This window comes from Homo sapiens, chromosome 20 (genome assembly GCF_000001405.40).
Source record: "Homo sapiens chromosome 20, GRCh38.p14 Primary Assembly".
Classification (NCBI taxonomy): Eukaryota; Metazoa; Chordata; class Mammalia; order Primates; family Hominidae; genus Homo; species Homo sapiens.
The window spans coordinates 52,526,115-52,542,037 of NC_000020.11; the positions used below are offsets into that span (position 1 = coordinate 52,526,115).

Here is a 15,923-nt window from a genome sequence, read left to right on the forward strand (position 1 = left end):
TGTGGGCTAGCCACTTGTTTTTGTAAATAAAGCTTCATTAAAACACTTATGTGCATTCATTTATGCATTGTCTGGCTTATGGGCTAGCCACTTGTTTTTGTAAATAAAGCTTTATTAGAACAGTTATGTGCATTCATTTATGCATCGTCTATAGTTGCTTTAATGCTGCAAGAGCAGAGTTGAGTGGTAGTGGCAGAGACTACAGCCTGCAGAGCCTAAAATATTTACTATCTGGCCCTTTTCAGACAACGTTTGTTGGCCCGTGGCCTAATGACAAGGTTGCATCTGTAAGAACTGCATGAACTCAAAGTAGATTTCTTTTTTGGTCCGTCTTAGTAAGTTCTTGTTATTCCAGCTCATAAAGTGAGATGCTATCTCCTTATATTAGTAATCCTGACTTCAGAAAAATATCAAAAGAACCCGATAACTATTTTACTCAAAGGGAGTAGAAGAAGAGAGAAACTCCCTGAAAAGATAGGAATTTATAGCTCATGGAACTGAATTGCTCTTCAGTGACTTTGCCCTTAAATCTGAACACATAGCAGTTGCTCACTTCCTTAGGAAGCTTTCCCACATCGACACCATATAGTACTGAGTTGTCCTGTGGAATAAATGACATTATTATAAGCTACTACTATATCTTTCACGATGTCTCCTAAGTTTCACGGTAATTCCTGTTGAGTTACTTTTCGGGTAGCAGTGCCACTGAGGGCGACAATAAACAAAATTTCTTCACTGAAGTGATTAAAAACAGCCTCCTTTAGGCTCCATGGGTTTGGATCCATGGCTGTTATCACATCAGTGGCTCTCAGGAAAATGAATAAGACTTCTGAAAAGAGACACCAAGTTTTTTATTTGTATCACATCATAAAGTGGACCATGTTAACTCCCTGGCTAAAATTTCTCTCTTTCAATTTTTGGAAGACAGGAATAAGCTGTGCCTTATCATACAAACTAGGAGTCTTTGGTCTCACAGCAGATTTACTTGTGGTGGCAGAAGTTCATTTTGAGCTCTGAGTTTTAAGTCTCCATTCACTCATTCGTTCAACAATGTACTGAGAACCTATTCATACTTTATGCCACACACTAACTGTGCAGCAGAGTAAGCAAATTAGATAAGATCCTTGCCTTCATGGAGATGGAAAGTCTAATTGGAGAGATACATGATCAAAAAGTACTCAGATAGCTAGACAACCATAACCTGTGATACATGCTCTGCAAGAATGAAAAGATGCAGGCGTGACAGGAGACATCATTTAGATAGAGAGGAGGACTTGTGGTGTTGTGTGTAAGGGTATCACCTGAATCCTAAAAAGTGTGATGGAGCCAGGTCTACCTGGAAGAAGAGGAAACTTTCCAGGTAGAGGGAGCAGCATGACAGGAAGGCTTTTAATCTGGTGGCTACATTTGGAAAAAGACCTCAGTCCCTGGATTCAGACCTTGATACATTCTTAAATTAGTTTAATTTCAAGTAACTTCACCATTCTTGGTCCTAAACTTTCCATCTCTTAAATGGCAAGAACAACTTCTACATGAGTGGTTTATAAAAAACCATGGAGAATCTTGCTAATATTTTGATTAGAATTGATGGGAGAAAATAGCTTTCATGTTAACATCAGCTCATTTGTTAAAATCTTGGTTATAGATGCCAGATGAAATCTTAGCGGTCACTCAAGCATTTCGTAAAGAAGTATTTGTAAAGGGGTAGGATGAAGCAGAGTCTGAATAGAATTAGAATTTGAATTCCATTTCACATTTTTGTAATGTCAGTCAAATATGACAAATCTGAAATAATATCACTTTCTTCTAACCTGCCAACTGGAAGAAAAATTCCCAGTGATATTTATGTGATTTATTGTGAGTTAAAAATAAAAACAGATAAAATGAAATGAAATTCTTTTATTAAGCAATTTGCCCCAAACCCAACTGTACTAATTAAGTCTCCATGGATAAATATATTCATAAATAGTCATGTTTTATCAAAGTCAAATACAGGGCAAACGCTTACGTTCATGCACTACTAAGCCTGAGTTATTAAATAAAATCTGTGCCATACTCTTTAAATTAAGATTCTATCCATTAATAAATGTTTAATAAAAATGTAAAGATGGAATATTGTTTGAAGAAGAAAAACATCCCCAGTACTTCCAGTTGAATCCAGCTTAGTGAAATGCAAATTTTATAAATTCCAATCTATCAAATAGAAATTTTACTATAAAAGGTTTTCATGGAAATAATAGCTGTCAACTATCAATTAATGCACACAGTCCCATTTTCCTTAAGTACTGTATTGAACTTTAATGAAAGGTTACTTATTCTATCAAATTGCTTTATACTTCGTACCATTAAACTTAACCAAAAATTAACATCAGTATTCCATGAAGAGAACATGCAAACAAAATTCACCAAAATGACAGGGGAGCCTAAATGTTTTTGTTGCACACTGAGAAATATGCTTCCACACACATTTTAAAAACGCAAAGAATTCATTTTTAAAACCGATGCTATCAGAAAATTTAACCCATTCTCAACTGCATGTCTCTCTTATATTTCTTTGCCTCCTTACATTGAGCCATGTATGATATACAAACAATATTTTTAATTATGTCAATAGGGCAAAAGCTTAACTCGGCAGAAGCCAGCCAGCATGGCATACAGTAGCAGGACCAAGGACTTGAAGCCAACATATCCAGGTTCAAATTCAAGCTGTCATTAACTAGCTGTGTAACCCTGGGCTAGTTGCTTAGTCCTCCTGAGGCTTAAATTCTTCATCTGTAACATGAGAACAATAAACTGATCTTTGAGGACTGCTTTGGGTACTTAGGAGAAAGGTGTATGGGTAAGCTTGGAACATAGGAGGTGTCCAGTAAGTGGTAGCTGTACTTAATGATTTACAGGGGTTAGGTAAGGATATCAATAAACGAAAGCAGAAAGTCACTGCCCGTGCAAATTAGAGGTGCATATAGATGGGAAGGTCTTAATGCATTTTTATAGTTTTGTAAAATCACTCTTATTTAGTTCTTATAGAAGCAATAACGTACATGTGCTGTAATGAAGAGTGATCGATCATAATACTAATGACCCAGGCATGCCCTATGCCCTTTGAAAACCCCCTAAACACTGGATTAAAATTTTTCCTCCTAAAACCATATGCATATCAATATGAAATGGCATTGAGTGATGCTAAATAAATAAATAAATATGGTAGAGTCAGGAGATTTGGGTTCTTATCCCAGCTCTCACTCTAGCGGAACACATGTCCTTGAATAGCCCTTCCTCCTTTCCAGACATCAGTTTCCTCATCTGTCAGATGAGCAGTGGGCAGGTCTAAGTGGGCACGAGTAAATACTAGGGAGAGGTAGGAGCTATGGCCAAATGGAGAGCATGTATTCTTTCTTTCCATAGGGACATCCTCTCCTCAGTTCCAGCTGACTGTTGCCTTGCTGGACCCTGGACCCCGTATTGCTAGATCTGTAAGAAAAGTCAGAAATTCAGATGTTGAAAACAATTAAAAACAATTATTAAAAAACTGTGCTATTCAAGAAAATCCTGTCTCCTGGAAGACTTCACATTTGTGGGCTGCCTGTTTAGAACTTTGGACTAGATATTTTCTGAAAGCCCTGACCGGATCTGCAGTTTTGTAATTTTAGGGAAATCTCTTTTTTGTCTGATTTTCTACACTGTAATCCTGAAAAATGATTTACAAAACCCAAATAGATTTTGGCATGAACTAAGCTTAAATTAACTGCTCTCTATCGTGAATTAATATTAAGCAGAGCTTGGCAGACACTAAATATTTGTTTTAGGAATACACACAGCTTCCACTTTCATCTGGGTTAAGCGCTAATCTTTGGCCTGTCAGTTGCAGGATATAGCACTGGATAAATCATGCTCTCTTGAACAGATAGATGCCAGGGTGGTTGTATACAAATGGAACAATGTGTCAATGAACACCCGAGTTTGGGTTACATCTACTATAAACATCGACATTCCTTTGCAGTGAGCCCATTTGCTGGTTAAGCAGTTACAGCTTCGCAAGGTTTGATGCGCCTGTGCCCAATCACGGTGTAATGATTTCAGATGTTTGCAATTAATGAACCATTAGATTAATTGGCAGAGTATCATAAGAAAGGTGTTAAGAATTGGGTCAAAACCACAGACAAGCTATCACCCACAGGGACAGCAATCACCAGAGGCAAAAAGGTGAGAAAATGAATTAATGATTTTATTTACCGCTTCTCACCCCTCCCTCCACACACTTTCTTTCTCTGTAAAACATTAGCATTGACCAGCGTCTAAGTTCGCCAAACACAGAAAGGAAGGAGAAAGCTGAAAGGAAAAAGAAAATATGTTTTCATATTCCTACAGTTAAGACTTGATCTTTGGAAAGCTGGGAGTTCCATTGGTACCAAAAAGTGACACCATTTCTCAGTGTATGTCCAAATCTCTCTCTGTGGGCTTTTTTCCTAAGCTCTTATGTTTTATTAATTATGTAACACATCAACCATCTTAGAAAAATGATTAATAGTACTTCAGAAACATGGAAATAAATAAGCCAAGCTTCAATATATGATTATGTAGGCTTGATATAAACCCCAGGGTAGCCATCTTTTAAGATGTGAGGAGTTTAACACCAAGCTGTCGCTACAGTACTTAAAATCTGGCAGCATAGTGAGTTATTGCCTGGCAGTGGATGGTGCTTCAGATGAATATGTAATTTGGAAAGTTAAATTAACCCTGAAATATTTTATTTGTTGTCTATTTTCCACTCAGGAAAGAGATCTTCATGTAAACAGAGTCCCTCTTATTGGCTGAAGTGAAGAGTCATTCTGAGGTGAGCTAAGCCCAGATACTTGGTAAATTTATGGTGGCTGTTATTTTCATAACAAAGAAAGTCAATTTTTGGAAAAGGATACTACCATGACACACACAAAAAATAATTTTCAAATAAAATCCTGGTGCTTCCTCCATAGTGTGTGTTGTTACCGGATATTTTGTTTGGCATTTATTTACTTATAGGTTCATTTCTGTCTCCCCACTACGATGTAAGCTCCAGGGGACCAGAAACTTGGTCATTTAGTTTATGGTTCTACCCCCACTGACTAAGATCCTGGCACACAGCAGGTGCTCAATAAATACTTGTTGAGTGAATGCAGAAATGAGTTGTTGTTGTCAAAAGAAAATGGCTTTGGAATTCTGTGTTGTCCTGGGGGAATACTGATGGGTCCAGGCAGTGACCTTACTGCTCTTGGACAGGCTCATTTATTGGTTTATTCAACCAATCTTTATTGAAGACCTACTATGTGCCAGGCCCTGTCCTAGGCACTGCAGATTCAGCAGTTAACAACGCATAGTTCCCTAACCTCACAGAACTTACTTTCTTATGAGGAAAGCAGAAATCAAACACATGCTTACACAAAGGATCAATTTCATTAAAACTTGGTTACTCTCTTGAAGAAAAAAGTATAGAGCCATAAGAATATGTGATATGGGAGCCTCATCTAGCTTGGGGAGACTAGGAAGCCTTCCCAGGGAAAGTCACACTTAACCTGAGACCTTAGAGATTAATAGGAGAGTATCTGGAGCAGAGGGAAAGCATGTGCAAAGGTCCTGGGGAAGGAGCAGCTTCATGTTTGAAATACAGCAAGCAACCAGTGTGGCTGCAGAAGAGAGAGTGGGGAGGACAGTGAGAAGCAAGATGCAAAGAAAGTTTCAGGTCACAGATCCCATTACTGGGTATATACCCAAAGGATTATAAATCATGCTACTATAAAGACACATGCACATGTATGTTTATTACGGCAGTATTCACAATAGCAAAGGCTTGAAACCAACCCAAATGTCCATCAATGACAGACTGGACTAAGAAAATGTGGCACATATACACCATGGAATACTATGTAGCCATAAAAAAGATGAGTTCATGTCCTTTGCAGGGACATGGATGAAGCTGGAAACCATCATTCTAAGCAAACTATCACAAGGACAGAAAACCAAACACCACATGTTCTCACTAGTAGGTGGGAGTTGAACAACGGACAAAGGGCGGGGAACATCACACACCGGGGCCTGTCAGGGGGTAGGGGGTTGGGGGAGGGATAGCATTAGGAGAAATACCTAATGTAAATGACAAGTTGATGGGTACAGCAAACCAACATGGCACATGCATACCTATGTAACAAATCTGCACGTTGTGCACATGTACCCTAGAACTTAAAGTGTAATAAAAAAAAAAAAAGAAAAAAGTTTCGAGTCAAATTACTAGATCTGTGAAGGCCCGTTTCTGCCCTTATCCTGAAAGAAATGAGGTGTCATTGAAGTGTTCCAAATAAGATAGGAAAGTCATCAAATTTTAATTTTTAAAATTTTATTGAAATTAATTAGAAATAAAATTATGTTTACACAGTGAGAGGAGTACGTCTTTAGCTTTCCTTGGATTCTCTTAAAAGAAGGAAGTTGACTCATACTCTTAAAGTGGGGTAAATTAGTAATGAGCTGGTGGTTGGAGGCAAAAGGGCTTACCTCCAATTATCTGTGTGTTAATCCAGTCCTATTCCAGGGACATTTTTGTCTGCAATCCTCAGAGATTTTATGAGATTGACTGGTTTTGTTTTGAATTAAATAAGAAATTGCTAAAGTGCCAGTTGTTCAAAATGTGTTTTTCCCCTTTGCTAAGTTTGCATGGATAGTTACTGGCAAACATACCACGAGTACCTCCTATGCATCACGCCTTAGTTGTCAGGGCTAGAAATGACGTAGATGTATTCTCCGTAAGCCGTATAAATGCTGCTCAACCAAGTGTTTCATAAATGGCTGAATGACAAACAGGGTGTTCCCCATCAGGAGTGGATATGTAAATATCACAACCTGGCCCTTGTTAGAAGAGGTATATAAAAAAGAAAGTGCTGTGGAAGAAACCAATCCTTTTTGGGCATAAAAAGAATGAGAGATCAGAGAAGGGACATTTGATTTGGGCTTTGAAGAATAAATTGGAATTTCTGAGCAAAGAGTATAACATAAACAATGGTCAACATGCCTAACTGCTCAAAGTTTAGTTATTGTGTGATTTAAGAGTATAGTAACTCATATTTAATGGTGTATTTCAGTAGACTTAAAACTTAGCCTTAACCAAAGCAACAAGAGCTATGAAAACATGCATGTTCATTTCTTTAAATGTGTATTAGAAAACAAACTAAAATTAGCACACGAACCCATGTTTTCATAGCTCTTGTTGCTTAAGGCTAAGTTTTTTTAAAAGGTTTGTTTCTAATGCACATTTAAAGAAATGAACATCCTATAGCTTGCCTATCCAATGTCCATTTTCCCCCTTCCTCTTCTAACAGAACCCCAATGTATGAGGTTACCCACCCATCCTCCATGCAATCTTGTGCTTCAAGGAAAGCTGACCCCATTCCCACCTCAAGTAAATAGAACTTACTAAGACAGGTATCAGAATCTTGTTTTCCTTTCCAGTGATTGGCTCAGGAGAGGTCATATGATCCAGCTCTGGCCAATGAGAAGTAAGGAAAGATCTGCCCAGGGATTTCTGGGAAAAGTTTTCTCCTTAAGGAGACACCAGAGAGGACTTTTCTGCATTCTGTAGCTGCAGTAGCTCATCTTCCCACCAGGAAAAGAGCTAGCTTGCAGGTGATGCTAGTACATTAATGATGGCAGAATGGACACGTGGAAAGAATCTTGATGTTGATGAATCACAGACCTATTCCCTTAAACGACTGTAGAGAGTTGCTCTGCCTCTGGACTTCTTACTCTATGAAAGAAAGTAAAGGGCCAGAGAGTTAATATTTTAGGCTTTACAGCCCAAGAGGCAAAATCAAGGGTATTATGTTGGTATTTATATAACAACAGGGAAAACAAATTTTGTCCAATTTTTTACTGATGAAATTCAAAATTTAATGAGAGTGTAATTTTTGTAATAAAGGTTTATTAATAAAAAAGGGATTATTTTCTTTTTAGTGCTCACTATCACCAAACTGAAAATACTCATATGTAAAAACTATTCTTGATTGGCAGACCATATAGAAACAGGCAATGGGCCAGAATTCACTTGTAGGCTATCGTTTGCCATGCCCTGTTTTAAAGTAATTTTTATTTTAAACTTTTTATTGGTTGAAAATTACTGTTCCCAAATAATATCTACTATTCATAGCCATGGTCATCATAATTGATACACATTAAACATTAAAAAATTCTCTATGAATCACCTCTAGCTGTCTTATATCCATAAAAGGGATGATTAAAAGATTTTGGGAAATAATAGTTTACTTTTGCTAAATACTTTTGTGCCAATTACTGGATTCTAAAATTATGTGCATGAGCTAATTTAATCTTTACAAAAATCCATCAGGTAGGCAGTATTATCATTATTTTGAAGATGAGGATATTATGTCACAGAGCACTTAGATGGTTCTCTGTTAAAGTGAGATTGGTTATTGTCTCTCTACTACTGTGCTGTTCAACTCTGATCTTTCCCTATTTATGTGCAAATGAACCATATATATAAACTTGTTTCTGATTCGAACTTCCTAAACTAACTGGCACATTGCAGGGAAGTCAGTTATGGAAACAGATGATGCAGCTTTAAAAAAAATTATCATTACATTTCTTTATGGCTAAAGAGCATCTGGAACAATTTAAGAAATTAGAAGGAGAATAAGATGTTTTACAACATAATATGCCCCAGGATTGCCATACAAGTGGGAAATGTGTTAGTTGAATTATGGCTCCGTGCTTTCCTTTTGTGGTATGCTTTATCCAGATCTCTGACATTACGGTACTGAGGTTGGCTCTTTATTTAGTTAGTTTTGAAAAATGTTCTTTAATTCTAGCATTCCAGGGAATAAAGTAGCACTCCAAATAATAATGCACGCTCAAGATGGAGAAATCAGACCCTTCGTGGGGAGAGAACAAAAATTAAAATGTGAATCATTAAAAAGCAAAACAAATAAATAAATAAGACTGTAAATAGACCCCTATAATTATATATCGCACAAGAAAAGCCAACTCCAGATGGTTCGGTAATCTCATCACCAGCCTCACTAATAATCATTGTAACATTCTTGGTCTCTCCCTTAAGATAATGAGCAATATGCACTAAAAAAAAAAAAGGTGTAAACATGAACTACAATTTCTCATCTAAATACAAAACAAAATAGAATGACTCACCTTAAGGTCTGCTAGTGTAGAGTGTTTTAATCTATAATCTTTCCCTTCCTTTAAAAGGTTAACCAATGGGGAAATACAACCAAATTATGAAAGTTGCCTTTCTAAGTAGACAATATGTTTCCCCCCGACTTCCTCCAAGGGTGGTCCCTTCTGAAATGAACCCAGAAAATTAATGCTCCAATAATTAAGCAAATTTAAAGACTATGATTAGTAAACAACTTTGTCACCCTTAAAGCTGTACCACTGCTAACATTTTTTAAAGTTTCCTAAGGCCCTTTCACCTTAGAAAATGATCGTTACTAGTTGAGCCAAGAAACAGTATAGCATATAGCGCTTGTTATTATTTTTCTCCATACCTGCTGTTCCTTCTCTAGAATTTATTTTGAAGGACCAAAAAAAAAAAAGAAAAAAATCTTCATTGATGGGGAAGAAAGGACCAAAAGAACATTATGCAAAACAGATGTAAAACCATCTCTATAATATTGCATGCTACTATTGAGCCTTTATTTCTGTCTTTTTTGCCTTGCAAGGCAGTTCTGCCCCAGACTCATAACTTTGTTTCCTCTCAATTAAGGTTGTTCAATATAAAATTGGATCATCTCAAACATACCTACCGGGATGTAGAAAGAAAGATAAGTTTAGATTTTTTTTAATATGATGTTTTATCTGTTGGAGTGGGTTAAATTGCAATACTCTTTGAGCACATTCTGTTTTCCTGCTCCTTCAGGAAATCATCTGTGGCTCTGCTTCTTGGGTAATGTAGCCTACTTCATTGAAAAAAAGAGTAACTCAGTTTTGTTGCTTATACATGGGCTTCTGGACTGCTTATGTGTTTGTGTATCACACACTCAATTCAAGGGCTCCCTTTGACTTTCTGCACTGAGCAGAGCAATTTCATTCAAATTTTCATTCAAAATTCAATGTCGTCATCAGCCACCCAAATGCAAGGATGTGATTTAGGGATGAGTGATGTCAGTTATGAAGATTTCAAAGTCTATTTAAAATTTTCAAGAATGCTCTGCATTCCAATCACACACACTCTAGTCTAAGAAGTTCTGGCCATTCCTGTCATGTCATCTGGTGGATTTTTAATAATAAAATCCCTTATCTTTCTGCCCAAGGATCTGACCTATTTAGGAGCTTCTGGACTATTTTCATCTAGTCCCTTGGCTCATCAGTTGATTCAGTAAATACATATTGAGTACTTGCAATATCCAAGGCACTGTTCTAGGATCTGGGGACACAATGTCCAAGACTGACAAGACGCCGTGAAACTGGCAGTTTAGTGGGAGTTGCCAGGAGAAGAAGCTCTCCAAAGCCCATGCAAGTGAAAGGTATTGTATTGAAAAGTGATAGGAAGCCATCATTGGAAATGGTAATTCCTCATGGTATTTGGGGCCAGAAACTGCTATTCTGTTAGGTATAAACCCACTCTTTAGTGTTCTCTAGGGCCATGTTGTTTTTGGACTTCTCCTTTTAATATGTGTCTGCTGCAGTATTTTTCTTCTTTCTGAAGATCAGCATTTTTTTGATTCTTCTATCAAGTGTATACTTGGCAGAAAACATCCCCTCCAGCCTTGACTTGATGTGACCGTGTAGTTCTTGAGCTCAGTGCCATCTGACTCTTAAGACGACATTCTTGAGGGAGAATCAGATGGGTTGCTGTTGAGTCAGTGGACCCCGCCCTCCTGTGCTAGCTGTTTGTTATTGGTGCCACGTGCTGCCATCTGTGAAGTCGAGTCACACACCACAGACATGGCTGCCAGAGACCAAGGCGGGAGGATGTTTGCAGGGAAGGCGGCCTGAGAAACACTCCCAAGTGCACCTGCAACCGGAGGACTGTTCATCTGCAGCTCCAAATGCATTGTACAGGCACAGGCTCACTCTTCCCCTTTTTCTCACAGTTGTTTAGATTGTGGTATGTTGTGGAAAACAGATATGCTGAGCTTCTGGCTCTGTGGTTTCCAGGATTGAGGAGACATAAGTAGGGAAGTTGGCCTTTCCTTCTGTCTTGCATTTTATTATATTTCATTTTAAGGGGGGCATTTCTAAAAAATATTAACTTTCTCATATTACAAAAGTAATATGTATTCATTGTGGGAAACCTGGAAAACAGAAAAAGTAGTGAAGAAAAGAATACTCTCTCACATTCTCACTTCTCACAGATAACTGCTATTAATATTGTATGCCCAGGCCGGGCACTGTGGCTCACGCCTGTAATCCCAGCACTTTGGGAGGCCGAGGCAGGTGGATCATGGGATCACGAGTTCAAGATCAGCCTGGCCAATGTGGTGAAACCCCATTTCTACTAAAAAAAATATAAAAAATAAAAAATTTGCTGAGCGTGGTGGCACATGCCTCTAGTCTCAGCTGTTCGGGAGGCTGAGGCAGGAGAATCACTTGAATCCGGGAGGTGGAGGTTGCAGTGAGCCAAGATCATGTCACTGCACCCCAGTCTGGGCGACAGAGTGAGACTCTGTCTTGGAAAATAAAATAATGTATGCCCACACTTGTTTGTGCAACAAAAATGGAACCTTACTCAATATTCTCAAAATAAAAGTATCTTTACCTTAATACCCATATGCTCTGTGCCCATTATGTGAGTTCACCCAATAAAGAAATGTAAGAAGCAGAAAATGAAAATTTTCTCAGAAATTTCACCTCTTCAGAGAGAGTCGTTGATTACAGTTTGGCATAAATCCTTCCAGATTTTTAAGATAGGTGTGTGTGAGTATATACTTTTCCATACAAATATCAATACTCTTTCATGTCTTTTACAGCTTCAGCATAGTATTGTATTGAATGAATGTATTGTAATGCAATTAAAATTCTCTTTCAGTGGACATTCAGGGAGTTTCCAGTTTTTTCTTTATAATTATAAATCAATTTTGCATAGCTGTCCAAATATTTCCTTAAGATATACTGCTATCTGTGGGCCAAAAGTTGCCATTTCTAGCCAAGTAGGAGGGAGACCATATTGAGTAATTAAGTATCCAAGATATATATAAAAATAAAAGAAAACAACCAAAAAAATCAAGACCCTTAATATCTGGAAGTTCTGTGGGAGAATTAGAATAAAAAATGGGCACAGTAGCTCATGCCTGTAATCCCAGCACTTTGGGAGGCTGAGGTGGGAGGATCAATTGCAGACAGTTCAAGACCAGTCTGGGCAACACAGTGAGATCGTGTCTCTACAAAATCTCTACAGAACGTTTAACAAATTAGCTGGGTGTGGTGGTGTGCACCTATGGCCTCAGCTTCCTGGGAGGCTGAGGCAGGAGGATCATTTGAGCCCAGGAGTTTGGGGCTGCAGTGAGCTACAAACATGTCACTGTACTGCAGCCTGGGTGACACAGTGAGATCCTGTCTTGGATAAAAAAAAATGTAAGAGTGCCAGAAAATGATAAAAACAAAATTAAAAAAATGTAACCCAAAACTTTTTTTTTCGTTAAAGGAGGATCTGAAAATGTAGAGGTGAGACGCTAATGGCAGAGTGGCCTCAGCTTTCACCAGGTTTTGAAAACATCTGTGAGGGAGGCACCAAATTCACTGTCCTGCAGCTTTGACTTCCCAATCCTCGTTGCCTCGTGCTGCCAGCCTGTATGCTGGTAGAAGTGTGTTCCTGGGAACATCCTGGCATCTTGTGTTAGGACTACACTGGTGCATGGGACAGATCACGCTCAAGAAGGTCGATGTAATTTGAAAAACAGATGGGCTCTGCTTTGTGAAAACTCCAAGCATATGAAGTCTAACTTGAATAAAAGGTACATGTTTGGAAGGAGAGTGTTTGTTATAAAAGGACTGTTCACCATTGGGGTGTATAAATGGAAGTGCTCTTTTAGCCAGGCAGATCCTTAACCTGTCTAAAAGAGTATTTGATTTTAAAGTCCCTTGAACTAGGTCTATTGCATATATTTTCAAATATACCACTTTGGCTGGGAGTAATATTTAGCCACAAATATTCTCTCAGCAAGAAAAATGGAGGATAAAATGTTATATATGTTGGTGTCTTTTTCCCATCTAGTTTCTATTTCTTACTTGAATCATCTTAAAACAACTAAGAAAGTTATAATCAGAACTAGGTCCAAATTTGTCGTCCTAGTTTGTTTTTGTGACTTTGTCTAAAAGCTGAGCAAAATCTGCTCAACAAGGGTCTTGGAAACATTGTTACTTGTGTTTTCCATCCATCACTCCTGTTCATCTGCATATACCTGAACAGAATTATTCCTAGCGCATTGAATCTATATACCCTCTCTTAGTCTCTGTTCATTATAGTAAGCTCCAGAAAAAATAATATAAAAGAAATATTAAAGAAAGAAAAGAAGGGCAAAGAAAAAAGTTCTGCTGGTTAAGAAATCCCTTTTAGCCAGCGGGGCGCCAGAAGAATCCAGGGACATCAATAGTTCCTGAACTGCTAAAGTATTTCCTACTCTTGTGAATTCTAAACATCTCTGAAGTCCAATATAGATCCCAAATATACTGATAGGATTAGAAATAGCATTTCCAATAAAAAATGCATAACACAGTAGGACATGAAATAAGGTATTTCTCTTTGAAACCATGAAATTGCACCATATTTGTCTGGAAATGTGTACATGAAATTTAAACAACCCTTGAAGACATCCATCTATTTTTTTTTTGAGTTTGCTCCTCAATTGAAATTCCACTCTCTGGAAGTTTGTGCTGCGGGCTCCCAACTTCACTCTCTGCCTCTCCTCTGTTTCCCTCCATTTCCTTCCCTTTATGACCCTTTTCAGTTGCGCCCCCTTGATTTATGGTCATTTGTGTGATTGCACTGCTTTGGTTTATGGCAGTTTATGTCATCCTGGTCTTGTCATAAATGACTACCATAAAGTGAGGTAAAATATCATAAAACATTAGTGAGTCCCTGCTACTCAAGGTTCTTCAGAATAAACCCTGACAGGTACCAGCTATAGAAAAATAGATCTGGCCATTTGAAAGGTGCAGTATTTGTAATAATAATCATAATAATGATAGTTAAAAATAAGTTACTAAAGTTTGCTGAACTCTATGTGCCAGTCACTGGGTTAAGTTTATTTCATACATTATGACATAGAATCCTTGTTACTGCCCTCTATGGCAAAAACTAGGATTATCACCGTTGTATAGATGAGGAAACCGAGGCAGGGAGAAGTTCAGCATGGCCAGTACTCAGTACAGTCCACAGTCTTACTGTGTCTTAAGAGCTCGTGCTTTTAACTGTTGTTGGTCTAGATGCTGCAGCTCGTGCTGTGTGCACATAAGGGGTTGAGTGGATTGAAATGTGGGTTTAGCATTTGGCAGACAGTTTTCATGACTGAGGAGCTCTTGTCACCTTCAGGCCTTTTTTGCTCTCCTTCCCCTCCCAGTTCACAGAGCCTTCTGGCACACCCTGCTACCCTGGCAGCACTGCCTGCCTTTGTTACCTCACCATGCCCTCTAGACCACAAGTTATCTGCAAAGTTGTCTTTCTTGATTCATCCAGCTCACTTCTGACCTTGTCCTTTGGAATCTCAGCTGTGCTAGCACATCTTTGAGCCAGAAGCCTGAGAGTCACCTTTGATTCCTTCTCTTTCTAACTAGCAAGTCCTGCCTGTGCCACCTCTAAGAGGCATCTTACACCCATCTGCATTTCACTTTACCTTCCAGAAGGTGGGTACTGTAAGCCACTGCCATCTCTTTCCTGCACTGCTAGAGATCAGGCTCTGCAAATGCTCCCAGCCACCTGTCCTTTGGGCTCTATGCAGGAGCAGAAGCACTTATAAGCACGAGCTGGGACTGCCATTGACAGCCCTCATTTATCCCTGTGGTTCGCTTCCTTTTGTGCTTTCTCTGACTCCTGCCTCCCTCATGACATTTTGTCGTGCTGTTGTCTCCGCCTCACTGGCCTCCCCCGAACCAGGTGAATTATTTTCTAACTTAGAAACTTCACACCATAAACTTTGCTCTCTGCCTGGAACTTGCAGCCCTTAACTTTCCTGTACCCATTCTTGTCTTTACGGAGTCAATTTGCTTATCATTGTTCCTGCCTGAAGTTTCTCCCTCTTTCTTCAGTTCTCTACTACTGCAACTCTTTCCTTCCTAGATCTGCCCATATATACTGAGGAGTGATTTGTTTATGTATTGATGATCTGTTTCCCTATCTAGATTGTAAGCTCCATGGGGACAGGAACACAACTATCACGTCCATAGCCACATTCCTAGCATTCGTCACAGGGCCCAGCACAACAGCATGGGACATATTTGTGGGGTGGGTTTAGATGGGATTGCAGGTTATATCTCCACGTCTAAACTGGATCGTGAGGGCTAAAAGGACAGCCATGCATCATCTGTTTCTGTGAAATATGTTGTACCAAGAGCATTCACATTGTAGGAACAAAGTGGATGTTAATGTGATACATAGCTGTTGACTGAATTATAGTAGCCCTCACAAAACCTTGGCTCCTAGGATTAAGACAGTGCATTGCATTGGATTGGGCATTGGAGACTGGCCATGGGGTGTATAAAAAGGGGAAATGGATCATAAGACAAGTTAGGACAACAGTTTCTATGATCCAATAAATTCATTGAAAGAAATATGTGAGCATCTTGGTTAAAAAAGAAAAAGAGAAGAAAAAAGGAACCAGGAGGAAAAATGGAATCAGTGTATTTCTCTCTCTTTTTTTTTTTTGCCCCCTCATCTCCTGTCTTTTCCAAAAATCTTTCTAGGTTTCCTCTGTCACATCCGTATGAAGTGTAAA

The 15,923-nt window shown here is 38.6% G+C and overlaps 1 long non-coding RNA gene across 4 annotated transcripts in view; it reads left to right on the forward strand.

Annotated features, from left to right (window-relative positions):
* Window positions 1–15,923, forward strand: part of LOC105372666 (uncharacterized) — a 483,513-nt gene that overhangs the window by 315,472 nt on the left and 152,118 nt on the right. For 3 of the 4 annotated variants that reach the window (XR_007067652.1, XR_001754670.2, XR_001754671.2), the window contains 2 exons: window positions 4,774–4,834; window positions 12,638–12,947. This is a non-coding gene — a long non-coding RNA (uncharacterized LOC105372666). Of the gene's footprint in view, window positions 1–4,773; window positions 4,835–12,637; window positions 12,948–14,676; window positions 14,836–15,923 lie in introns of those variants that run through there. The other variant, XR_007067653.1, reaches the window with a different exon arrangement.